This window comes from Homo sapiens, chromosome 18 (assembly GCF_000001405.40).
Source record: "Homo sapiens chromosome 18, GRCh38.p14 Primary Assembly".
Classification (NCBI taxonomy): Eukaryota; Metazoa; Chordata; class Mammalia; order Primates; family Hominidae; genus Homo; species Homo sapiens.
In genome coordinates, this window is record NC_000018.10 from 62,373,231 (window position 1) to 62,401,173 (window position 27,943).

At 44.3% G+C, this 27,943-nt stretch overlaps 1 protein-coding gene across 10 annotated transcripts in view, besides 1 other annotated feature; it reads left to right on the top strand.

Moving 5' to 3' along the window:
* Positions 1–18,058, top strand: part of TNFRSF11A (TNF receptor superfamily member 11a) — a 65,979-nt gene extending 47,921 nt beyond the window's left edge. For all 10 annotated transcript variants that reach the window (XM_011526245.3, XM_011526244.3, NM_003839.4 and 7 more), the window contains one exon: positions 11,521–18,058. In XM_011526245.3, the coding sequence (XP_011524547.1) occupies positions 11,521–11,804 (284 nt within the window). In that variant the 3' untranslated portion in view covers positions 11,805–18,058. The remainder of the gene's footprint in view (positions 1–11,520) is intronic.
* Positions 1,158–1,787: an enhancer, noted in NCBI's record as "NANOG-H3K27ac hESC enhancer chr18:60041621-60042250 (GRCh37/hg19 assembly coordinates)". NCBI's record gives its function as "activates a minimal SCP1, AML or CMV promoter by ChIP-STARR-seq in naive H9 embryonic stem cells {active_cell/tissue: H9 hESC(naive)}" and the evidence as "EXISTENCE:reporter gene assay evidence [ECO:0000049][PMID:30033119]".
* Positions 18,059–27,943: the final 9,885 nt, after the last annotated feature.

Sequence of the window (27,943 nt, forward strand, 5' to 3'; positions counted from 1 at the left end):
GCGGATCACTTTAGGTCAGGAGTTCAAGACCATCCTGACCAACATGGGGAAACCCCATCTCTACTAAAAATAAAAAAAATTAGCTGGGCATGGTGGCATGCGCCTGGAATCCCAGCTACTTGAGAAGCTGAGGCAGGAGAATTGCTTGAGTCAGGGAGGTGGAGGTGATCTGAGATCTTGCCACTGCACTCCAGCCTGGGCGGCAGAGCAAGACTCTGTCTCAAAAAAAAAAAGAAAGAAAAGAAAAAAGGGAATTCTCATAGCCTAATCTTTCTAGTATCTCAATATGTTAAGTGAATGGATGCTTATACACTCATTCATTCATCCATTCAGGAATAAATAGATGAACATGAGACCACTGTATCCTGTTTGTTCCCCCAAGTCACTCTCAGCCTCCTAGTTCTTTGGTCTGCTCTAGGGAGCTGGAGAAGGAGGGGGATGGAAGGGCCGGCACTGGCTGCCCTGGGCTCACCTAGTGTCCTGGGCAGAGGAGGCAGAAGTGACAGAGCACAGGTGAGCTGGTTCATCCTAGCATTATAGACTCTCCAAGGCCATCACCTGGGAGCCAGGAACACGGGACAGTGAAGACCTGCCTGACCCCTCATCCTCCTCTGTCCTCAGTCTCCGTCCCTGGTCCCACTCTCTCTTGAAATGACTGTTGTTGATCATCCATTTCCATTCTGAGAGTACAGAAGATTTTCCTATCCAAACTTACCTCCCCTCCTTTCTTCCCCTCCAGCAGCGGACAGCCTTCTATCTCTTTCTTCACACTCTTGTTAGAATGCCGTTCACCACCTTGCATTTCACTTTCAGCTAAATCTCGTAAGGGCAGATACTGGTTCATTGGCCCTGAATCTTGAAGTTAATATAGATATTTCATAATTTGGTTATCTGGTGATAATATTCAGCTTTCATTGCTGTAAAACATCAATGCACTATTTCAAAATATACAAAAAATGTGGTCACTGTGTGTACTCTGCTTCATTTCGTCCTGTCTCCCTTCTTTCTGCACTGATAGGGCTCATTTTGGAAGGCTTTGGTCTGTAAGACTTTCTAAGTAATTTTCAAGCATGATTCAGAATGGAACTATTAAATACTGTTTCCCTTCCCTTACCATCACATACCCAGTTTCTTCTAAATGCCTGAAACAGAACTTACATTTCCATAAAAAGGAAAATCACATGAGAAGCATATGGGTTAAATATAAAATAAGTTTTTTAAAAAATTCCAAAAGAACCCAATGTAGCCTGGGTAGTTTGAGTGTATTTGTGTATATTTTTAGTTCTCTTCCTTGGAAGAAAATCTACATTACAATTTGGTGGTATTATTTGGCATAGTTCTTGTGATTTAATATTCATGTGTTAGGCATTTTAAACAACATAATAAGCTTTTGAGAAGAAAGGTATGCATTGTCTTGCTTAAAAATGTAAATTCTGTCAGGGATTGTGTTCTTAGAACTAAGTTTGTTCTTTCTGCCTGAGAAATGCAGATTCCACGGAGCCTGCTATGTCAAGCATGGACAAAGTAGAAGCATCATTCTGATTATGATGGGAAACATCACTGATTCATTGTTTCTGTTGACTTACTTGCTATTTTTAACACTCTCAAGTTACCTGAACATTTTTCTGGTTAAGTCACATTAAATATTAATGTTAAGTCAACTAATCCATTCTTTTTTTTTAAGTTTTTTTTGAGACAGGGTTTGGCTCTATTACCCAGGCTGGAGAGCAGTGGCACGATCTTGGCTCATTGCAGCCTCCGTCCCCCAGGCTCAATCCATCCTCCCATCTCAGCCTCCCGAGTAGCTGGGACAACAGGCCTGTACCACCACACCCTGCTAATTTTTGTGTGTGTGTTTTTTTTTTTTTAGAGACTGAGTTTCGTCATGCTGCCCAGGCTAGTCTCGAACTCCTGAGCTCAAACGGATCCACACACCTAGGCCTCCCAAGGTGTATAGTCCCAGCCACTCAGGAGGCTGAGGTGGGAGGACAGCCAAGCCCAGGAGGTCAGGACTGCAGTGAGCTGTGTTCACGCCACTGCACTCCAGCCTGAGCGATTAAGCAAGACCCTTTCTCAAAGAAACAAAAACAAATGTCTGATTATGAAGCTTGTACCCTAACCCACTGCACTGTCTGGGATTACAGGTGTGACCCTCTGCACCCTGCCAACTAATCCATCTTAACTGTTGGAAACACTTCCAAATTCCCATATTTAATAAAAATCCCCATGTCATTCTGGCTTTCAAATCATACTTTTGGGTAGCCTTCAAATTTCATCAGTCATATTGTGTTCAGGGACCTGTAAGATTGGTTCGATAGCCTGAAGGTTACAGTTTTGTCAGTGATATTATAGACGTTAGTCACTGGGTGCTGAGTGTTTTGTGTGTATTATCTTCTTATTCCTCACAGAAATTCTATGGGACAAGTTCCTCGCCCAGGATCATACAGCTAGTAAGCGACAAAGCCATGGTTCAAGTATCTGATTGCAGGCCAGGGCACAGTGGCTCCCACCTGTAACCCCAGCACTTTGGGAAGCCAAGGTGGGAGGATCTCTTGAACCCAGGAGTTCAGGACCAGCCTGGGCAACATAGACCTCTTCTCTACAAAAATTTAAAAAAAATTAGCCAGATGTGGTAGCATGTACCTGTAGTCCCAGCCACTCGGGAGGCTGAGGTGGGATGATCACCTGAGCCCAGAAGGTCAGGGCTGCAGTGCAACCTTAAACCACCGCACTGTCTCCTCTTAAGTCAGTGCAAGTGATGCTGATTTCATTTATTTACTGTGTCTTGGAGAATCCTCAGTGTGTCACAGAATAGGGACAAGCACAGTCCTGGCATCATTGGCTACTCTGGCTGAGGGAGAGGCAGTAGCCAGGCCTGGCCTGGCCCAGAGGGTTCCACAGGAGGGACAGTAGGATGCACAGTGCGTGATGGTCCCCTGGTTATGGTGAGACCCCTCTCTTCTGCCAGTTGTCTTGGGATGTTACTATTTTCACTATCACTTTCTCTTGTGGGGAGAGCCTTTTCTTCCACATGCTTCAAACTTTATCTTTTTTTTTTTTTTTTTTGGCAAGCAAAATAAATGTCAAATAAAGGTCAGAGGCAGCCTCGAAGGGGAACACTGTCAGAAAGGGATCCCGAGGAGAGGAGGCAAGAGGGGAGGGACAAGGCCTGGTTTGGCTTAATGGACTAACAATGCCTATAAAAAACCTCTGGTCTTCATGTTTTTAATGTAGACTATTTTTTAGAGCAGTTTTAGCTTCATAGGAAAATTGAGGGGCAGGTACAGAGATTTCCTATATACCTCCTGCCCCCCACACATGCACAGCCTCCCCCACTAGAGTGGTACATTTGCTGCACTTGACGAGCGCATATTGACACATTGGGGTCCACTCTTTGTGTTGTACGTTCTATGGGTTTGGACCAATGTATCCTGGCATGCATCCACCATGATAGTCTCCTACAGGGTAGTTTCACTGCCCTACAAATCCTCTGTGCTCTACTCACCCCTTCCTCTCTCTGAACTTCTGGCAACTACTGATCTTTCTACTGTCTCCATAGTTTTTCCTGGTCCAGAATGCCATAGAGTTGGAATCATACATTCTATAGCCTTTTCAGATTGGCTTTGTTTACTTAGCATTATGAATCTAAGTTTCCTCCATGTCTTTTCATGGCTTGATAGCTCTTTTCTTTTTTTATTTTTTCAGACGGAGTCTCATTCTGTCACCCAGGCTGGAGTGCAGTGGCGTGATCTTGGCTCACTGCAGGCCCCGCCTCCGGGTTCATGCCATTCTCCTGCCTCAGCCTCCCGAGTAGCTGGGACTACAGGCGCCTGCCACCATGCCCAGCAAATTTTTTGTATTTTTTTAGTAGAGACGGGGTTTCACTGTGTTAGCCAAGATGGTCTCCATCTCCTGACCTTGAGAGTCGCCCGCCTCGGCCTCCCAAAGTGCTGGGATTATAGGCGTGAGCCACCGTGCCTGGCCAGCTCTTTTCTTTTTAACACTAAATAATATTCCATTGTGTGGAGGACATGGGGGATTTGTTTATCCCTTCATTTACTGAAGGACTCTTGGCTGCTTCCAAGTTTTGGCAATTATGACTACAGCTGCTGTAAACATCTGTGTGCAGATTTTTGTGTGGACATAAGTTTTCAACTTCTTTGGGTAAATACCAAAGAGTATGATTGCTGGATCATATGATAACTGTATGTTCAGTTTTGTAAGAAGTCATCAAACTGTCTTCCAAAGCAGCTGTACCCTTTTGCATTCCCACTAGCCAAGAATAAGAGTTCCTGCCACCCACCCCCATGCTCGCCAGCATTTGGTGTTGTCAGTGTTCTGGATCTGAGCCATTCTAATAGGTGTGTAGTGGTGTCTCACTGTTGCATAAATTCTCACTTCCCTAATGACATATGATGTGGAGCATCTTTTCATATGCCTGTTTGCCATCTGGATATCTTTGGTGAGGTGTCTGTTAAGGCCTTGGGTCCATTTTTTAATCGGGTTATTTGTTTTCTTATTGTTGAGTTTTAAGAGTTCCTTGTTTATTTTGGGAAATAGTCCTTTGTCAGATGTGGCTTTTGCAGATATTTTCTTCCAGTCTGCGGCTTGTTTCTTCATTCTCTTAAGCCTCGGATCTTTTTAGGCCATCTTGGGTAAGCCTCATCTGAACCATCCCTCCCCTTTTCATACTCCCTTACTAGCCACCAGCAAGGGAGAGGTCCCTGCTAACTGCAGAGGTCCCCGTTGAGTTTCTAGGCATTCAGTGGGAAGAGTTACCCTCCTGGGATACGTATCAACTGCAGAAACCATGAGAACCATGTTGAAAAGGAGACCCACAGCACCCACCTGATTATACAGCTGCCAACATGGTGACCTATTGATGTCACCATCGCAGATCAGATGTGAGCTCTCTGATGTGAACAACTAATCTGTTCTGCAATACAGAAAGCAAATGTTAAGGAATTCTTACTTTTAGCAAGGACAGTTCAGGACTGAGGTATCTATTAGATAAGGATATTACCAACTAATTCTAAGCCTTGATCTACTCTCATGCTACATTCAACTCACAGCAGACTTGCGTGATGAGAAATGAGACTGTGGGGTTTAATGTAGAATTATATAGATGAGTGTTGTAACCGAAGACAATCATATGATTGAGGACTTCGGCAGAGCAAACAGAAGTTGGTTAGATTTCCAGAGAAAGTGCCCTTTCAGTCTTTAAGACGCATTGAGATCCTCTAACAAGACAGGGATGGAAAGATAATACTACTCTTCAGTGTATTTCATGAATCTCTGTGTCCTTGGGAGTTCCGTGAGCACGGATATTACTTTCTGGGAGGAGGAATGCCACCATTGCACCTGTGACTGACTCTTTGCTATTTCCCTAGCATTTTCAAATCTATCATCTTGTTTGACCCTTATGCTATCCTGCTGAATATTCATGTGCTCATTTGTTCATTTATTTAACAAATGTGTATTATTAATATTTGCTTGCTCTACGCAGTTGCACACTGCCAGGCCAGCACAGCTTGATACAGATTGGGAGAGTTAGGTGGTTTGTTCCAAATTCTCACCACTAGTGAGAGCCAAGTCTCAGGACAAGACCCAAGAGCTTCTAGACTCCTATTCTCTGCCCCACATTTCTGCCCCTCCTGAATTCAGGCAGCCATTAATGCCTCCATCCCTCTAGCTACCACTTATTCACCTCTGCTCTTCAGAGACTGAAACACCACAATGACATTGATGTCATTAGATTGCTTTCCGGTGAATCTGGATTATGACGTGCCATGGAAAAAGAAGGCTGTTTGGCAGTTTTCATCCTTGAACAGTGTCAGTCGGTAAAGGGGAAAAAAACCAATCACAGAAACCTGGCGTGCTCACGTGCAGAGCACCTGCAAGCTGGTGTTTGTGATGCAGCCAACCTGGCCTGGAGAGAGGGCTTAGTCAATTCTGTATGGAGAGTGTTGCTTCTGTTACTGTTATTATTGTAGTAGGTACTCAATCTATCTCCACTCAACCCACAGATTAACCCACACCCGCCCAGGAAGCTGACTGAAGCCCATAGCACACTGATTATTCACAACTCTTGGGTCACTCTGGAATACCCAGACCCTTCTGCTGCCACCTGCTGAATGGCCATGTTTTCTAAAGTCCATGGGTGCTCCCAGTTCTGTGAGTGTGAGCTGATCTTGTCATTCAAAACATTAACTATTACGTTAACTGGCAAGAAAAAATGAGTTTGATAATCATGATTATTTCTATGAAAACTACTGAATACTTTGGGATGATTCGGGGAATGAATTGCTAAAACCTTTTTGGTATTGAAGTTGAGGTGAATGACACAACCGTGAAAGGTGGAAGGAAGAAAACTCTAGAAGGCTCCTGCACTTAGACTGCTTTTTGGCAAGTGACTTTTGGTTCTCTTTCCACGTTAAAGAACCCAAAACTAGAAATTGTAGGTAAAGCATTCAAGATACAATTGGTACAATCAGTAGACCCATTCGCAAAGGACAGGCCCGTTTTCCATCAGAAAGTTGGTGTTTTGCAGCAAGGGGTGGGTGGCTTGAACATGAGGGAAACATATCACAGGATCAGTATTTTAGAAGCATAAGTGGAGAGCTTCTACAACTCAGTTTTACTGAATATTTAGTAGAGAAAATCTGATTAGCAAACACTTCTGTAATATTGAAAAATGTCCAACTTATAAGATGTCACTTCCGAAAACGGTAGTGCTAGATTAGAGCCTCAGTGGGGAAAGTTCCCAGAGTAATGCTCCTAAGAGTTGCCCGCGCCTTCAGGACTGGTGACATAACTGACATAGCCCAGTGGAAAATGAAAAATTTTCCCCTTTTGCAAAAATTAATAAGAATTTCATGATGACAGCAAAGCATTTAACCCAGCGTGGAGCTCTTCAGAGCATAAGACCTTGTGCGGCTGCACAGGCCCATGGCGACCACTCTGCTGCCACTTAAGAATTGCCACGTATTGTGTGATTGGCACATCAGTATAACTTTTTTAAAAAAGGTTTAGTCTCTATCAGTTTACTATATCTCACAAGAGTCACCATGCATGGATAGACTTGACCAATGGTTGTTTTTGTCATTAATTTTAGGTTTGTTAAAGAAACACTTGAAGAATAAACTTGTTTTAGAATCTCCTAAATCTTTCTAGGTAACTGTCCTTTACATCTTAACGGTCAGGAATTTTTTTTTTTTTTTTTTTTTGAGAGAGTCTCACTCTGTCGCCCAGGCTGGAGTGCAGTGGCATGATCTCGGCTCACTGCAAGCTCCGCCTCCTGGGTTCACGCCATTCTCCTGCCTCAGCCTCCCGAGTAGCTGGGACTACAGGCGCCTGCCACCACACCCAGCTAATTTTTTTTATTTTTAGTAGAGACCAGGTTTCACCGTGTTAACCAGGATGGTCTCGATCTCCTGACCTCGTGATCCACCCGCCTCGGCCTCCCAAAGTACTGGGATTACAGGCGTGAGCCACTGCGCCCAGCCAATGGTCAGGAATTTAAAGGCCTAGTTTTTGCCCTTCCACAAGCCTCACGGCCTTCCAAAAATAATATTCTTTTTTTTTTTTTTTGAGATGGGGGTCACTCTGTCACCCAGGCTGGAGTGCAGTGGCATGATCACAGATCACTGGAGCCTCAGCATCTCTGGGCTCAGGTGATCCTCCCACCTCAGCCTCCCAAGTAGCTGTGACTACAAGCGTGTGCCACCACACCCAACTAACTTTTTTGTATTTTTCATAGAGGCAGGGTTTCACCATGTTGCCCAGGCTGGTCTCCAACTCCTGGGCTTAAGCATTCACCCACTTCGGCCTCCCAAAATGCCAGGATTACAGGTGTCAGCCACCGCGCTTAGTTCCCCAACAATAATATTCTTGGTTCAGTCCATGAAACAAAGGATTCTGAAATGTTTAGATATTCTACTTAGGCAAAAGGGTTTGAGGTCCATCTGAAAAAAGAAAACAAAAATGAATATAGGTCCTATAGAATATTTAGGTTATCAGTATCAAAGATACTGTTTGCCATGGAGCAATGGCATGGAATGAAATTCTCAAGATGAAAGACTTTACACAAACCATAGGTTTTACCTGGATTCAGACTCATCAGAGGTTCTCACAAGAAAGAAGTAAACAACAATGGATTCATGATGATCTGTTGAAAAATAAAATTTAAAATGGCAGAGAAATAATATATACCATGACATAAGCAGATAAATCAGTGAGGAGGATAAAGAAGAGATGAGAACGAATTCAAAACCATAAATCCATCATACAGTGGCTGGAGATATCCTCTGTGCAGTTTTACGTGATACTGAAGAGCAACAGAACCAGCAGGCGATGATGTCGTAGTGAGAACACCTCATGATGGATGGTTTTGCATTTAATCTCATCTCTTCTTTATTCTCTTCATAGACTTATCTGTTTGTGTCATGGTGTATATTAAAACTAGAGGAACTAGGTCAAGAATAATCATACGACTAAGCAACTTTAAATTGCTTATTTTATTAAATAAACATGGTATGTTTTTAATCAGAATAGAATTTTCATTGTATGTGCTTTTTTTAAAAAATTGAATGTCCCATTCCATGTACTTTTTAGTTTTCACTTTGACTTTTTCTATTAACCAAGTAGTGATTTCTCTAGGAGGACTTAACTGTGTTGCTACGCCTACTTCTGTTGCTGCTACGGTAGAAGCCTTTTTATCAGCCCCTGGTCAGCAGTTGCTGAGTTACTTAAAAATGTCATCTTACAAGTTCATCTCTTAAATATTTTTTTACTTAAAACATATACCTTATAGTTGACACACTGATTATTTTATAGTATAAGTCTGTATGTACTGGCTGATTATAGTTTCCTGAGTCCTTTTTTTTTTTTTTTTTTTTTTTTTGAGAGAGTCTTGCACTCCACCCAGGCTGGGTGCAGTGGCGCGATCTTGACTCACTGCAACCTCCGCCTCCTGGGTTCAAGCACTTCTCCTACCTCAGCCTCCTAAGTAGCTGGGATTGCAGGTGCCCACCACTATGCTGAGCTACTTTTTGTATTTTTAGTAGAAACGGGGTTTCGCCATATTGGCCAGGCTGGTCTTGAACTCCTGACCCCAGGTGATCTACTCGCCTCGGCCTCCCAAAGTGCTGGGATTACAGGCGTGAGCCACCGCGCCCGGCCTCCTGAGCCCTTTTTACATTAACCACACCACCTTAATTTCCAGTTTCGATTTCTTCAATGTGAAATGAGAAATTACAGATATTTGAGAGCAAAATCCTTCTGGAGTTTTATTATTTCCTTTTCCTATTCTTTTTCTTCCTTTCTCACTTCTCTGTGGCCCTGGGAACTGTCTCATTGTCATATTTGTGTTCTAGAATATTTTGAGTGATAATGTCGGTGCTGTGTGTTTTGTTTTGGTTTTCTGCGGGGGGAGTGGAACCAGCTTGCTTCTGTGCCGCCATTTTGAAACCAGAAGTCCTTCCTTTTTCTTTCTTTTTTCTTAGTTTCCTTGCCTACACCACCACACCAGTTGAACAGTTTGTGGTGATTGTTTCATTTTGTTTGTATGTTTGTTTGTTTGTTTGTTTGTTAACTTTTATTTGGGTCCTTGCAAAGCATTCACTTTAGTTTTCATAGAAACATTTCCCATTTTTTCTCACTAATATTTCACTGCTTTACCTAATATGTAATTAAATTTCCTGATGAGTTTATCTGGTGACAACAGACTTGAGAAGTAACTTGGTAAGTGGTGGGAGCAGAAGGGCGTAGATACAGTGGTGAGCAGACCCTCACTGGAGTACGCTGCATGCCTGGCAATGTGTGGAGAGGGGGTGGAGAAGGTGCTGGGTAGGTGGTAAACAGGAATGCCAACGGGCCTCCCTCATGCTAATTGGGGGTTCTTAGACAAGTCCTGCCACTGCCCATCTTGAAGGACATCCCACACAACTGCCCATGGGAGAAACAGCATGAGGCACAGACCTCCTTCCAGGACTTTGGATTTGTTGCTCATACTTGAAATCCTTGTGTCTTCATGGGCTTTTCCTTGTGTTTTGGTCTTGGCTTCTCTAGAGGTTACCCAGTGGGTCAGGGGAAGGCTCCTCAAAGGAATTTCCTACATGCGTATCGGTATTTTAGTCAGGCCATCCAAAACATGCCTTCCAAATTCGAGGAAAATCTCGTGTGGAGTGGTAACAAAAACTTCATTTTATTTGTATGAATTATTACTAAGCTGAGTCACAATGGAGAAGAAAAAGGGGTGAATCGTGAGGAGCCATTTTGACATTCCTGGCCCCTGATCAAATGGAAGGATTCTGTTTGTGATGCTGAGTGTTGGGGTGTTTCTAGATCTGCTTGGTTTGTGGCACTTTCCTAGACCAAAGTCTAGGAAATTTCTGTCTTTAAAATGGAAGAATCGTAAGAGCTAGCAGGTTGCCTAACATTTGTTGGACTTTGTTTGTTTTTCAAAAGGCCCGTTGCTGAAAGACTGGCCACATCTAGTCACCCACAAAGCAATGATGCTAGAACCCCTTAGGGACAAAACACCCTTCAGAGTTCAGAAGGGAAAAGTGATTTATAGGACTTTTTTTTTCTATTTTAGTTTTGTGAATCTGTTTTGTTTCCGGGAGTAATTTTAATGTTAAGGAAGTGGATTAATCTCTACTGAAAGCTGAGCCCACGTGGCCCCATGATCCTCCAGGGCTGAGTTGTTAGGGACCATGAGGAACCAAGGCACCCACGGTGATGGGGCCTCAGATGTGAGTCCAGAGAGGAGAGCAGACTGAGGTCTCCTTCCTTAGCTGTGCTTGTTCTGTGTTGAACACACACACACACACACACACACACACACACAAATACACATACACTCTCTCTCTCTTTTGTAACATCTGAATCTTGTCTGTGATTCTGTAATCTTGGTGTGCTCTCTTGCCAGTATCCCAGAGTCCCACCTCACAAGCAAATGGTAAAGCATGAGTCTGCCCCTAGGCTTGCTCGTTTCTCATCTCTTCCTCTCCCCTCCTTTTCTGTTCCTCCTCTCCTCCTCCTCCTCTTCCTCTCCTCCTCCTTTTCCTCCCCTCCTCCTTTCCTGTTCCTCCTCTCCTCCTCCTCCTCTTCCCCTCCTTTACCTCCCCTCCTCCTCTCCTCCTCCTCTTCCTCCCCTCCTCCTCCCCCCTTCTTGTTCCTCTCTCCTTCCTCTTCCTCCACCCTTTCTTTCCTCTCCTCCTCCTCTTCCTAGCCCTCTCCTCCCCCTTCCCCCCTCCCTCCTCCACTCCTTTTCCTCCTCTCTTCCTCTCCCCGCCTCTTCTCTTTACTTCTTTTGTCTTTTTTCTCTTCCATTCCTCTTTTCTCTGCCCCGCCTTCCTCCGCCTCAGTGGGCCTGGAGGGTTACAGTGTGGTTCCCTGTGGCCCCGGGCTGTGGGAATCCGGGGAGCCGCCCTCCACTCCCCGGAACCTTCCTCTCGGCAGACCCTGCCTCCGGGCGCTGACTCACCCTCCCCGTGTTCTCCCTTCCTCTCCCCGCAGGAAATGTGACTGGAAACAGTAACTCCACGTTCATCTCCAGCGGGCAGGTGATGAACTTCAAGGGCGACATCATCGTGGTCTACGTCAGCCAGACCTCGCAGGAGGGCGCGGCGGCGGCTGCGGAGCCCATGGGCCGCCCGGTGCAGGAGGAGACCCTGGCGCGCCGAGACTCCTTCGCGGGGAACGGCCCGCGCTTCCCGGACCCGTGCGGCGGCCCCGAGGGGCTGCGGGAGCCGGAGAAGGCCTCGAGGCCGGTGCAGGAGCAAGGCGGGGCCAAGGCTTGAGCGCCCCCCATGGCTGGGAGCCCGAAGCTCGGAGCCAGGGCTCGCGAGGGCAGCACCGCAGCCTCTGCCCCAGCCCCGGCCACCCAGGGATCGATCGGTACAGTCGAGGAAGACCACCCGGCATTCTCTGCCCACTTTGCCTTCCAGGAAATGGGCTTTTCAGGAAGTGAATTGATGAGGACTGTCCCCATGCCCACGGATGCTCAGCAGCCCGCCGCACTGGGGCAGATGTCTCCCCTGCCACTCCTCAAACTCGCAGCAGTAATTTGTGGCACTATGACAGCTATTTTTATGACTATCCTGTTCTGTGGGGGGGGGGGTCTGTTTTCCCCCCATATTTGTATTCCTTTTCATAACTTTTCTTGATATCTTTCCTCCCTCTTTTTTAATGTAAAGGTTTTCTCAAAAATTCTCCTAAAGGTGAGGGTCTCTTTCTTTTCTCTTTTCCTTTTTTTTTTCTTTTTTTGGCAACCTGGCTCTGGCCCAGGCTAGAGTGCAGTGGTGCGATTATAGCCCGGTGCAGCCTCTAACTCCTGGGCTCAAGCAATCCAAGTGATCCTCCCACCTCAACCTTCGGAGTAGCTGGGATCACAGCTGCAGGCCACGCCCAGCTTCCTCCCCCCGACTCCCCCCCCAGAGACACGGTCCCACCATGTTACCCAGCCTGGTCTCAAACTCCCCAGCTAAAGCAGTCCTCCAGCCTCGGCCTCCCAAAGTACTGGGATTACAGGCGTGAGCCCCCACGCTGGCCTGCTTTACGTATTTTCTTTTGTGCCCCTGCTCACAGTGTTTTAGAGATGGCTTTCCCAGTGTGTGTTCATTGTAAACACTTTTGGGAAAGGGCTAAACATGTGAGGCCTGGAGATAGTTGCTAAGTTGCTAGGAACATGTGGTGGGACTTTCATATTCTGAAAAATGTTCTATATTCTCATTTTTCTAAAAGAAAGAAAAAAGGAAACCCGATTTATTTCTCCTGAATCTTTTTAAGTTTGTGTCGTTCCTTAAGCAGAACTAAGCTCAGTATGTGACCTTACCCGCTAGGTGGTTAATTTATCCATGCTGGCAGAGGCACTCAGGTACTTGGTAAGCAAATTTCTAAAACTCCAAGTTGCTGCAGCTTGGCATTCTTCTTATTCTAGAGGTCTCTCTGGAAAAGATGGAGAAAATGAACAGGACATGGGGCTCCTGGAAAGAAAGGGCCCGGGAAGTTCAAGGAAGAATAAAGTTGAAATTTTAATTTGCATTTTTTTTGTCTAGATAAGAATAGCGTGAATAGATCCTCTTTTATTCGTAAATAATCGTGCATCTGTGGGTTAGCCTTGTAGAAGTGGAAAACATTCCATTTTCCAATGCATTTAAATGTAAAGCCAAATCTGCATGTTGTGAATTTAAGAAAACTTATTATCCTAAAGGTGCCTTTCTCTTGGCATCATCCCGCTTGTGAGAAGCCTAGAGGACGCTCCAGGTGGAAGGAAATCCCCTGGGTGGTTTTATCTTTTGTTACCCAGTGAGCACTGGTTCCCCGCAAATACTGGGGAAAAGCAAAAATACACAAGCAAGTTAAAATTAATTTTGCACATCTGGGAGGTTATAAAAGAAAGCACTAATAGTAGTCACTGCCCAGACTTTACTGGCCACAAATGCCCAGCTGAAGAGCATGACTGTGGATCACTGGTTTTTCCCTCCTGCTGGAAATGCTGGGGTGGTAGCGGTCGATTAGGATTTTCAGTGGAGAAGCACAGGACAGTTCTGTAATTTATGGGACTCCTTAGCCAACATAAAGAACTGCAGGAAATAACTGCACAGCCAGGAGGATCCGTTGGTGGGAATTTACCGTCATTCCTGCCCTTTTATTTAACATCATCCACAGAGAGATGTTATACAAATGGAGGAAACCATTATACCTTTTGATATGGAATATATTACAGAGTTACAGTTCACAAAGTAGAATGCTGAGCTGAAAACCCGAGTTTCTGCTGTGACTGTCATCTCACTGAGCACTTCGCTTTTCTTTGCTTTTATTTTTTCCTTCTATAAAAAGGCAATAATGATAATTTATAATAGTTTCCCTACCCAGAGATATTAGAAGTATGCTACAGTGAATGTTAAAGTACCTTGAGATCCTTAAATCAAAGGTGCTATATACATAAGTAAGACTCTACTTTCAGAAAAAGGTAATATTATTTCCTGCACTGATCCCTACTAATTCTATATTGATCCAAAGGCAACTCAATGCTAAAAAATGTATAGAAAATATAAGTCTGTGTCTGTGTACTGTAGAGATGTATGTGACAAGTGTAAACAAAATGAACTGAAGCAGTAATGAACAGTTATTAGGGGGAACATGATAAAGAGATTATATTAAGCTTATGTTTCACCATAAAATCCTTTTTATGGCTTACTAAAACCGAGCTCACTGTAAAATCATGATCCAACTTATTGCTAATCTTTATGATATGCTTATTCCTAATCTTTATGGTATGGTGTCAACCGTTCATTTGTATCTTATTGCTCATTCCCTGGACCACAGACTAGGGACAGAAAATACTTGCTTTAATAATATATATGCTGTTGATTTCACAAAAATTTATTAAAATACAGCCTGGGTACCCAGTGAAAGAGCTGAAATGGAAATGGAGTATCATGTTTCCTACTCACATTTTACTCAGCTGTCGGAAGGAAGAATGAATTTCTCAAGAGCAGTTTGAATGTGTTAGATCAGAACCTTCATGTGGTGGGGAAAATGGGATTATTTCAGTGTAACAAACCACCCAAAGACTTAGTGGCTTAAAATAGTCACCATTGGCCAGGCACAGCGGTTCATGCCTCCCAGTGCTTTGGGAGGCCAAGGCAGGAGGATCACTTGAGGACAGTAGTTAGAGATCAAACTGGGCAATGGAGTGAGACCTCGTCTCTACAAAAAATACAAAACTTATCTGGGCACGGTGGTGTGCACCTGCAGTCCTGGCTACTCAGGAGGCTGAGGCAGGAGGATGCTTGAGTCCAGGAGTTCAAGGTTACTGTGAGCTTTGATTGGGTCAGTGCACTCCAGTGTAAAAAAACAAAAATAAAAACCACCACTTATTTAGCTCCCAATTCTATGGGTTGGATCAGCTTGGGTGGTTCTTCAGGCCTGGTCCCTCCTGGCCTGGTTTGCTTACCCATTTACAATGACCCGGCTAGTTGGCCGGGCCAGGCTGTGTGCTCTCCACCTGTCTCCCATCCTTCCAGCCACCTAGCTGGGCATGCTCTCATGGTGGTGTCGAGCCTGAGAACAAGCAGAAACCTGCCAGGCTTCTTGAGGCCTAGGCTCTAACTGGCATGCTGTCACTTCTGCCACATTCTGTGGGCCAAAGCAGGTCACAAAGGCAGCCCAGATCCAAGGGATGGGGGAGCAGCATATCCCCCCATGGGAAGAGTTGCGGAATGAGAGGGTAGGGGGTGGACACACAGAGGGGAAGATGGCCCCCTTGCCATCTGTCCACCACAGGGCACTGCGTGGAGTAAAATGCTGCAGAGAAGAGTGCATTCTGGGAAAAAAAGAGGAACATATCCCAGCCCCTAACCAGTGAGTAGCTCCTTCTCTGGTGATTGAATTCCCTTAATGCACAGCACTATAGATTCCCACAATGAAAGGGACACCCACGTTCATATTTAAGTGCTGTGTCAAAATTCTTTCCAGAGCCAAATATAGGTGATTTGGGAATTGAGCCTACTGTACTGCTTCCACATTCCTTTGGCACAGAAAACTGAAAAGTCACAACTTCTAAAATCAAGAAAACTGGTGAGATACCTTGGGGTAGAGAAACCTGCATATAAACAGATAAAAGATCGAGTGTTCACCCTTCACCTCAGCTCAACAAACAAACTCTTGTTACGATTATACAAGGGTGAGCTTGAGCAAAGGTGCTGTCTTTGGTGGAAGAAACGTAGTTTTGAGTTGTTTGCTCTTTGACAGTCTCTGATGGCATGTGAGTCTGGTGCATTGCTGTGGGCTGCGCTGGGCACAAGTTGCATAACCCGCTTTTGGAAGAGGAGACAAAGCATTCAAAGCCCTAAACACTCTGTTGGTGAATCATCATGTTTATTGAGTGTGCTTTTAGTGGCAGGGCCCTGAGCACCTGGGAAAGGAGATGAGGAGCGCTGGAGGGTTCGGAGCAGAGAAGACGAGACAATGCTCTGCTCCAAGCGCCAGAGGAGGCTTCTGGGAAGGGGCTGTCTGTGGAATTTCTGACCCCCAGAGCCCTGCTGGTGAAGTCTTGCAACCACTAAAGCTTTGCCAGAGAAGAGGAGGGACCTGACACTGGGCAGTGGCGGTGCCAGCAGTGAGCACAGGCGGGGTCTAGGTGGGATCACTGAAGCCAAGCCAAGTGGTGCAGGGGGAGCCGCCCTGGACCAACACCCCCATGGCTGCCCCACTGCGGAACTGCCTACTGCGGCAAAACAATCCTATGTCCCCCAAGGTTTCAACAAAGAGGAGGACCGAATAAATGTCCCAGTGGGCAGGCACACCCACAAGACTTGCTGCTCCTCCTGACCCACCCGCATGGCTCTGCACAGCTGTGAGTCCAGTTTTCTCTCTTCCTACCTCCCTCTTACCCAGTTATCCTGACCCCAGGGTGAGGTTGAAACTCATGCTAGGCTAACATCTCTTTCCTTCATCCCATTCATAAAACTGGCATACAGGAATGTTTTAAAAAAATCTTTAAGATTACCAGGAGTATAAAAGTTAAAATGACAAAATTACAGGCCTGTTACCAGATCTTCGTACTAACCAAGGAGCTGGTGACACTACCCTCTTCCCTGTGTGATAGAAAATGCAGACGTTTTGCAGGCAGACCTGGTTCATGACTCAGCGCTGTGACTTGTGGACTTATCTTGTGCAGCTACATCACTTCTTAGCCTTGTTTTCAACATGCGTAAGCAGAAGGTACTAATATTAGTCTTTAGGGCTGGTTTGAGGATGACGTGAGATGAGAGACAACCAAGCACTCACTGGCAGTTCCTAGAAGATTCCAGTAGTAGAGATCTGACTGTCCTACACTACTTTCCCTCCCTGTCTCTGACACTTGTTCATTCCTGGGCTCAGGAGCCATCTCAGTCATCATGTCGGACCACGTAACTATAACCAAGCTCTGCTGCCCACCTGGGACACCTTCCCACTCTTTGCAACTAGGTCGGAGGGACGCACCTTCTCCACAGTTGACAGGACTGTTATGGTTGACCCAAAAGTTGTCATCTTCTGACATGACACACTGAGGGAAGTAGACTTACCCAATATAACTTCACATTATACTGTCTTAAAAGACTATGATTAAAATGGGCATCAGTGTAGGCAACATGTAGGGCGCAAAGAATAGCCAGATGTGAAGGTTGAAAGGCTATGTGGGCTAGTTTGTCATGGTATTCCTGGTGCCTCTCCCCGTTTGGGAAGAATAACACATTGACCACCGGCTCAGAGGAGGTGGCATTATAGGTCCAGGCCCCTTCAGGAGGGCACTGGAGTCAATGAAAGCTTTTGCTCTCACCCAGGCTCTTGGTTTCTCACGGGCAGGGGTAGCCCAGGAAACAAAGGCTGTATAGACTTTAAGTCGTGAGAAAAACGACATTCTTATGGTGAGGCTCTTAGAGACTGTCTCCATTTAAGCAGCAGCAGTAAAACATCTTACCCTAAAATGAAGAAGCAAATCCATTTTTATTGGCTTTTATAGCCTCTCTCTTTCAATGACAAAGAAACCATTAAAATGAATGTTTAAAGTTCTTAGAAGAGCTTTCTCTAAATATTTACTCTGTCAGTGGAAAAATAAACATTTTTTACATCGGGTCTATTGAGTTTGTTATATACAGTAAAATTCACCCTTTTTAGATATATAGTTTTATGAGTTTTAACAAAAATACATAGTTGTGTAACCACCACCATCACAATCAAGATATAGAATATTTCAACATCCCAAAGTTCCCATTTCCCTTTTCAGTCAATCCCTTCCCCACTACCCCTAGCCCCTGGCAACCATTATCTGTTCTCTCTTCCCATAGTTTCACCTTTTCCAATTTGTCGTGTAGAGTTACACAGCTCATAGCCATTTGAGTCTGGCTTCTTTCCACATAATGTCCTTGAGATCCATCGGTGGGTACACCAGTAGTTCCATTTTTTTTCTGAGTAGTAGTCCATTGTATGGATGTACTGCGGTTTATTCACCAACATATGGGTTCTTTCCTGTTTGGGGAGATTACAAATAAAGCTACTATAAAAACTCGTGTGGATGTGTGCTTTCACTTATCTTGAGTAAATATCCAGGAGTGGGATTACGGGATCGTATGGTAAATATCAGTTTAACTTTATAAGAAACTGCAAAACTGTTTTCTAAAGTGTCTGTACCATTTTGCATTCCCATCAGCAATGCATGAGAGTTCTAGTTGCTCCACATCCTCACCAGCATTTGGTATCATCAGTTATTTGCTGGTTTGCTTTAATGCTTGCCATTCTTATAGGTGTATAGTATCTCACTGTGGCTTTCTTTTCAGTCTGTGACTGAATACCTTCTCGTGTGCTTATTTGGCTATCTTTGTCTCTTATTTGATGAAGTATGTTCAAATCTTTTGCTCATTTTTTTTCTTTCTTTTTGTGAGATAGGGTCTTGCTCTGTCACCGAGGCTGGAGTGCAATGGTGTGATCACAGCTCACTGAAGCCTCGATTTCCCAGGCTCAAATGATCCTCCTACCTCAGACTCCTGGATAGCTGGGCCTAGATATGTGCTACCGTGCCCAGCTAACTTTTTAATTTTTCTGTAGTGAGAGGGTCTTGCTATGTCATCCAGGCTGGTTTCAAATTCCTGACCTCAAGCAATCCTCCCACTCTGGCCTCCAAAGAGCTGGGATTGTTTGTTTTTAATTGTTTTCTTATTGAGTTTTGAAAGTTCTTTATATATTCTGGAAAGTGGAATAAGCATGTTTAAAGTTTTTAGAGCATTTCTGTAAGTATCTGTTATGATTAGAAAAAAATGAAGACATAATTTTTCATTTTTTAAAAAATTATGTTTCAGGAGATGTACACCAGTAGTGTTTATTCAGAGTACATTTTTCCACATTTACACAGTGGGACTCCCAATGTCAGGGCCCAGTTCTGAGCTGCCATGTCCTAGAATTGTCCTATATCCTTATGGAATGCAGCAGTCACCCTCCTAGGGGCCCATTCTCCCGTGGAAACTGAGTTTTGTAACACACATGCTGATATAAATGTGTTTTATTGGTCGGGGAACTGTGAAATGTCTTTCTTTTTTTTTTTTTTTTTTTTTGAGACAGAGTCTTGCTCTGTCGCCAGGCTGGAGTGCAGTGGCATGATCTCGGCTCACTGCAACCTCTGCCTCCCATGTTCAAGGGATTCTCCTGCCTCAGCCTCCCCAGTAACTGGGACTACAGGAACCCACCACCACGTCCAGCTAATTTTCGTATTTTTAGTAGAGACGGAGTTTCACCCTGTTGGCCAGGATGGTCTTGATCTCTTGACCTCGTTATTCACCACCTCAGCCTCCCAAAGTGCTGGGATTACAGGTGTGAGCCACCGTGCCCAGCCCATGAAATGTCTTTCTATTGATATTTTCTGATTATTTTATATATTAAGGAGAATATTATAATGAGTGCTGGGTGAGGGAAAAAATAAAAACAGAGTGCAAATGCCATCATCCTCTATGCCTGGCAAGGGAGACAGCAAGCATCCCCGGGACAGATTTTGTTGGCATGAGGAAAGTTGTTTAATCACATCAGTGTAAGTCCAGTTGGTTTGTGTTGGTCTGGTAAATATCATATGGTAAATATCTGTTTGTTGTGACCAGAGCACAACAAACATGCCTCTGCAGTTGTCCCTTAGTCCACAGAGCCTGTGCTGGGTGACAAGAAAGGCCCCAAGAGGGTCAACAACTGGGAGCTTCTCTGAAGGATTAAGATTCCCCAGCAGGGAAGGATACCCAGGGTGCTAAAGGTGCACCTGGGCTGATGGCCTGACGTGGAAGGTTTGTGGGAGAGATTTGGGGCTGGACAAGTGGATGCTCCTGCACATCCAGCCGCCTCTGACTCAGCTCTGGAGACAAAGGCAGAGCATGTGAGTGAGGGAGGTCTGATTTTAACCCTGAAGCCCAAGCCTCCCCTCGGGGGTAGAGAAGTATGTGTATGCATAAGACCAGTGCCCAGCAGTGAGCAGAGGCCATGACTGAGGCAGGAGACAGGGACTGTAGTCCCTTCAGGCTACTGAAGTCACTAGCCTTCCTCACCCTCTCTGGGGCATTTGGAAGGAGAATGTGTCTGCTTTGGACCAAGTAAGATGTTGGAGTTTGTAGACGACTGGTGGGGGAGGCTTCAAATGTGAGCAGTTTGACATATGGGAGCTCCAGCTATTAATATTAATTGGAAAAATGATGAGCTGTGACTGTGTTTATACTTGCAGCTAGTGAAGCCGACTATGCCAGAGACAGGCAGATGTTGGGAAAAAAGGAATCAGGGCATTATGAACCTTACCCGAACCAGCCTTCCCAAGAGCAGGTACTCTTGAAAATATAAAACTCCAGTCGAATTTCATCAGCCTTCACATAAAACTTCACGGCTCTCTGTTGTTCGTGGAATACAGACCAAAGGCTTTCAGATGGTCCTCATGGCTCCCCACCCTCCAGCCTCATCTCACGCTACTCTCCCCACCTCCAGCTGCACTGGTCTCTCCAGTGCACACACTGCCTACCTTGGGGGCTTTGCACATGTGATTTTCTCTGACTGCAGCATTCTTCCTGGTTTTTCCCTTGGTTAGATCCAATTCACCTCTCAGTTCAAACAGCACTTCCTCAGGGCAGCATTTCCTAACTGCCCTTTCTCCCTGAGACCAGACTGGTCCCCTTTTTAGGGGTGCTTAGAGATGCTGGAACTTATCCTTTGTGGCATTATTCCAGCTTGTAATGATAAATTTATTTTAGAATTTGAATAGGACCTGTCTCACCACCACACACACACGCACACACACACACGCACACACACACACGCACACACACACACGCACACACGCCACTGTATCCAGCAGGCAGCATGATTCCTGGCATATGTGGATGCTCAAGAAACATGTGCTGAATGAGTGAATGCAGGTGATATGCCCTGAACCCTCAGGAACACCCTTAAACCTCACTGCCTCGCCGTCATCCCAACTTCCTTACTGCGTTTTCACACGCTGACCAAAGTCCAGACAAGGCTACTATGTCCAAAGGAGAGATTTCAAAGCAGAATTCATAAGGCAAGCTAAAGGAAACAAAACTGAAGAAGCGATTTCATACAGGTGAGCCCAAGGCAATACCCTGTGAAGAAGCAACAGCACATGGTAGACTGAAATATGAGATTGTTTAGAAATTCCTTCAAGAAAAGCAAAATCTTGAGCTGACAAGATCAAGAACTCATGCTCATATCTGGGTTCCCAAAGGAAGCAGGAAAAATAAGAACCTCTAACAATGCCTTAGGGAGTCAAGGAAAATGAAACTGGCTGGGTGCGGTGGCTCACGCCTGTAATTCCAACACTTTGGGAGGCAGAGATGGGCAGATGGCTTGAGGTCAGGAGTTCGAGACCTGCCCACGGTTAGGATGACTTTGTGGATAGGCGGTCATGTTTATATCTAGTAATTTTTGCTTCCTCCAAGGCATTCTGCTTTCAGCTGTAAAAAAATGCTATGAACTAGAGTTAAACTGATTTGGATAGGCAGAGTCAATGACGGAAATATTCTTTTCATACCACAAATCTTTTCATTAGAATCAGATTTAGTCCCAAATTAAATAGTAAGTCATAGAACTTTGCATTGAAAACTTTATATCTATGATGGTTAATTTTATGTATAAATATGACTAAGCCACAGGATGTCCAGATATCTGGTTAAACATTATTTCTGCCTCTATGAAGAGACACACATTTGAATCAGTAGACAGAGTAAAGAAGACCCACCCTCACCAGTGTGCAGGCATCATCCAGTTCGTTGAGGGCCAAATACAATAAAAAGACAGAGGAAGGTTGAATTTTCCTCTCTGCCTGACAACTTGAGCTGGGACATCCATGGATTCTGTCTTACCCTCTGTGCACCTTGTTCTCAGGCCTTCAGACTTGGACTGAAGTTTATACCATCAGCCCTCTGGTTCTGAGGCCTTTGAACTACACCAACAGCTTTCCAGACAACAGATCTCCAACTTGCAATAGATCATAGGACTTCTTGGCCTCCATAATTGCACGAACCAATTCCTTATCATTAATAACTCAATCAATCTCTCTATATATGTGATGGTTAATACTGAGTGTCAACTTGGTTGGATTGAAGAATGCAAAGTATTGATTCTGGGTGTATCTGTGAGGGTGTTGCCAAAGGAGATTAACATTTGAGTCAGTGGACTGGGAGAGGCAGACTCACCCTCAATCTGGGTGGGGACCATCTAATCAGCTGCCAGCACAGCTAGAATATAAAGCAGGCAGAAAAACATGAAAAGACTAGACTGGCCTAGCTTCCCAGCCTACATCTTTCTCCCATGCTGGATGCTTCCTGCCCTTGAACGTCAGACTCCAAGTTCTTCAGTTTTGGGACTCGGACTGGCTCTCCTTTCTCCTCAGCTTGCAGACGGCCTGTTGTGGGACCTTGTGATTGGGTGAGTTAATACTTAATAAACTCCCTTTTATATATTTGTCTATCCTATTAGTTCTGTCCCTCTAGAGACCCCTAATACATTATATATTACATATATACATATAAATACATATATAATACATATAAAATATCTATCTCTATGTATGTATATTTCTCTATATACATATATTTATATGTGTGTGTATATATATGCATGTGTGTATATATATATATACACACATGTATCTACATGTATATATATGCACACACACATCTATCTATAGATCTACCTCTCTCTTTCTTTCTCTATCTATGGTTCTATTTCTCTGGAGAACTCTAACATTACATCCTTAGATTGTAACTTGTTGGCGCTATGCCCCCAAAGAGATTCCTTTCTGTGATAAGATGACACTGGTTATCCTTTTTTAGCACCTAGAGCAAGTGCAAATACGTGTGCAATGTCAGAAGGATGGGCAGCCCACTCAGTAGCTGATGGGCATTTGTCCATTATTGCTGCCAGGCCCTGTGGATCTGTGTTCATGACCATATGTTCATTATAAATAATGAAATCACCATCATGACATGGCTGAGAGATCTTTAAACCTGAACAAACAATTACAAATACAAACCCACACACACCATGTCTGAGCATCCATGGATGGTGTGGACAATGAGCAGGCATCCATGGACTAGAGGACATTCACCAAGAGGGACAGATGGTGACCACTGTTCTTCAAGAACACTACAGTCAGTCATAGGCCCTGTCACCCAAGCCACTTCTGTTTCCTGCTCAGAGAAAAGCAGCTACAGTGTAGCACCTGGGCTAGTTATTTGAAAAGCAAAGGAGTCACTCCCCCTTTGCTCCACTTGCCCGCCTTCCCCATGCTTATTTCCCTTAAGAGTTTTAATGAAAGGTTATTCAACATCAGCATACGCAGAGAGTCACAAAATGACTCATTTTAAAATACATCACTTTATTGAGTCAGTATCATGTACATGAGGGAAGGTTCACCTTTTTACATCTACAGTTCTATGAATTCTGACAAATGCATGTAGTCATGCAACCACCACCACAATCACGACATAGACCATCTCCATCACTGTAAAATGTTCCTTCCTGCTCCTTTGTAGTCAATTGTCTTCCCCACCTGAGCCCCTGGCAACAACTGATCTGTTCTCTATCCCTATAGCTTGGCCTTTCCCAGAATGTCACATAAACGGAATCATACTGTATGTAGTTGTTTGGATCTGGCTTCTTTCACTTAGCATAATGGCATGTTTTTGCATGTATCACTTGCTTGTTCCTTTTTATTGCTAAATAGTGTTTTTTTTTCTTTGCCTCGTTGTATTAGAATTTGTTTATCCATTCACCAGTTGAGTGACAGATGGATTATTTCTGGTTTTGAGAAACTATGAATAAAACTGCTGTCAACACTCACTGTGGGTTTCTGTAGTGACAGAGCTTTGTGGACATAAGTTTTCACTTCTCTTGGGTAACTAGGAGTGGGACTGCTGGATTGTGTAAGTGTCTTAGACTGTTCCAGCTGCTATAACAAAATACCGTAGGCTAGGTGGCTTATAAACAGTAGAAATGTATTTCTCACAATCCTGGAGGCTAAGTCCAAAATCAGGGTGCCAGCCTGGCCGAGTTGTGGTGAGGGCCCTCTTCTGGGTTGCAGACTGGCAAAGTCCTGCTGTACCCTCACATGGCAGAAGGGCAAGACAGCTCTCTGGGCCTCTTTTATGAGGACACTAATTCCATTCATGAGGGCTCCTCCCACCTCATGGCCCCACCTCCTAATACCATCTTCTTGGTGATTAGGTTTCAAAATATGAATTTGGGAAGACACGGACATTCAGACCACAGCATGTGTGTTTACAACACAGCAATGCATGGAAGAGCCAATGGCTCCGCATCCCCCCGGCATTTGGTGTTGGCCACAGACTGACTCTATAAGCAGTTTAAAATAGTTGCTAATGATAAGAAGTTTGTTTTATTTGTTTGTTTTCCTAAAAGCACAGCTTCTATAGGTTTTAGATCTATCCAAAGAAGTTAATAATGAGATAAAGTATGCTTCTGGGTAATTGCACTCTTACATGATGACTTTTTCCCTCTTATCATTTAATTAAGACTTTTACAATCAACATCCTTGATACCAAAGCAGTAGGTAGGATAGCAATTGGTTCTGTGTTCAAGAAGTGTTTTTAAACATTCAAATGAGCTTGCATTGTCATTAAAAGAAAGCTTTCCACTTCTTAGTGCTGTTTTGAAATGAATGTAAAGATTCCTGTGCTCTGGGAAAAAGCAAACCCATAATTAGAACAATGGCAGCCTTGGACTGTTCTCATTTCTCTTCCAGGAAATGGTTTTTTAAAAGTTATTGGTCTACATGATGCATATGGATTATCTTCTTTCAGAATGACGCACAGCCAATTTAGAATACTGAGTTGCCCCAAATTTCCCTATAACTCCCTTCACTGCCCAATCCAACCGATTTTGTTTTCTACTCAGTACAAACATGCTACAAACTAATTTTAAATCATTAGCATTGTCCAAATGGAACATAATTAGAGAATTAACACTGTTACAAAAATAATTACGTAAACCAATATAAAGACTAGTACTCATAGCTTCAGGTGTTCACTGTGTTTGGAGCGTCAGTTTTACAGTTCTTCATTCGCCTAGGAAATTGAAAATAAAATGTGTTCGTTCAGCAACAGTGTGACAGCGGAAGACACAGAGGAGGAGAGCCACTTGGGGTAGGACTCCTCTGCCCTCTTTGGCCTGTTGTCCAGCAGCGGTTCACAAGCCAAGTCAACACTATTTGTAAACTCAGCACTTTACAAACAAAACACAGAGACTTCTGTGCAGGCTTTTGCTAATTGTCCTTAGCAGCATTGTTGAATGTTTGAATTATCAGATAGACCGGGGCTGTGGGCTTAGTTTCCCTAGAATGGCTTCTAGATGTCTCTCTTGAGGTCCTCAGGCCTGAGGGCTGTGCAGGGAAGAATGAGAAGCTGTGATTTAGGTCCTTGATTGGAAACTACTGAAGCCCCATAGAAACAGAAAGGTAAAAGATGAAAACTTTGCAGGACGCAGTACTGTTCACTATAGCCTCCAGGATTCCAGCAAAATTATTTGTGTCCTCAATGATTGACCCCAAATAAAAGAGAACAGTAGGAGGAGAGAATGGGACTAACATTAGTTAAACTTAACTACTATGTGCTGATCATTGCACTAGAGTCTGTTTCATAAATTTTCAAATTTAATCCTATCAGCCATCTTATGAATGAGATATGATCTCCCACAGGTACTTATAGCTGGGGAACCTGGAGGTCAGAGAGGTTAAGTAACTTGCTCATGTTGCTATTGTAGTGGCCAAACTCAAAGTCCCTCCAGACCTGACTCCAAAGCTTGTTCTCTTCCCACTACCCCACAATAGCCTCCCCAAAGACCTGACAGCATTCCTTAAAAATCCTACCCTCACCAGCATTGCCAAGAAAATCCAAGATGCCCAGTTAAATTCTCAGATAAAGAGCTAGTACTTTCTTAGTATTTATATGTCTCAAATATTGCATAGGACCTACATATATACTAACAGTCATCCTTTGCTTATCCTAAATTCGAACTTAACTGGGCATCCTGTAGTTTTATTTGCTAAATCTAGCAGCCTAGCCCTCACTGACGCTTTCTGGCCACATGATGGTGATGTCAATGTTCTGAAGTTTGCTCTTCATTATTAAATCATTCAAAAAAGAGTTCTTCCCATTTTGAGGGATGGTGGAGTGATGAGGAAGTGTTCTAAGGGAGGGGTCCATTTGAGCATAACCATGTGTGAGAAAATAACAGGCACTTCCTTCTTTATGGATCACTGCACTGGAATAGGCTGGAAAGTGCTGGGCTGGCTGGGTAGATTTGCATGATGCCCAGGTGTCTAATGCAGAACTTTCCAAAGTGTGTTTTGTGGAGCCCCAGTTCATGAGCTACATATTTTGTGGACACGTAACTTTAGGAGAGGCTATGAATGGCACTCCCCTTGGAGAATATCCCCTGGGCATGCTCTGGTATTAGAGAAAGCCTAGAGAAGAGACTGTATTAATTCTCTAGACCTTAGACCTTATCAGTCTCCCTGGAGACAACAGGTGGAGCCCCCTTCCTGTGGGAGGACAAGAAACCCAGTGCTGACTTGGGTCCCATTCTCAGGCTGTTTCTGAGACTCTTCAAGCCATGTTTACAGGTTCTTTTTTATTCTGGGGCCCTTGGTACAGAGTTGAGTCAAAAGTGCTCAGTTGCCAGCACAGAGCCTCTGTGGTCTGTAAATCCTCAGCAGTGTCAATCCTATAAATCCCGGGCTGGGCTGCACTCCACCTTCCCTACTTCACCCTTGCCACCTTGTCACCTGCTTCTCCAGGCTGCTGTGCTCTTCCATGCTGATTCACACCCTGCTTCCTGTTTACCCTTCCCCAGCACAGAAAAGGCAAATAGCACTGGACAGCCCACAACTCTAGAGTCAGCAGCATCTCTGTCTGGCCGTGGGGTGCTGGTAAACATTTAGCCACCTGCTGGAGGGGCTGAGCCCTAGCGTTTGCAATTCCTGTGATTTCAAGCTCCCGGCTGTGATGTTATTGAATGGAGTTGGGAAGAGATGCACAATAGCACATGTTTATATTGTATTTTCCTCGGACTGGTGCAATAGACCTCAAGAGCACTGATGAGAGAAAATGTAGTAAAATAATTATCAAGCAATGAACTCTGAGTATTTATGACCTCTGTTTTTAATATAATTTATTTAATTGTAAACGTATATAATTTAGTTTTAATTTAATTTTTTTTTAGAGACAAGGTCTCACTCTGTCACCCAAGCTGGGGTGCAGTGATGCAATCATGGCTCACTGCAGCCTCCAACTCCTGGGCTCAAGGAATCCTCCTGCCTCAGCCTTTCGAGCAGGTGTGTGCCACCACCATCCCTGAGCCCAACGTCAATCATTCTTTTTGAATTTTTTGTAGAAACAGGGACTTTCTCTCCCACCCAGGCTGGTCTTGAACTCCTGGCCTCAAGCAATCCTCCTGCCTCGGCCTCCCAAAGTTCTGGAATTATAGGCGTGAGCTGCCACACCCAGCCTATAATTTAGTTTTAAATGATGGCCATGTTTATCAACCAGCTTGCAAAATTCCTGAAAATTTTACAATCGGCTCTTACAAGTCCATAGAGCTAGTTCCAGCACACTACTGTGAGTTTCAGGGTAGACCTCTCCTTAGCCTTCAGCTGGGCTCCAAATTGCAGGGCCTGTAACTTCCATCCATCACCCACTTCTCCCATCTCCACCACAAGCAATGGGAATGTACTTGAAACCATGTTTACCCTACTCGGAAACGACGCCCAACTCCTTCCCCTGAAAAACTCTGCAAGATGCAAACCTGCCACTTGTGAAGATCAGCCTTGAGATTATCACACAGGTCCCTTTATCTTGAGCCACCATCATTCAGAACAGAATAGTTGCTTCAC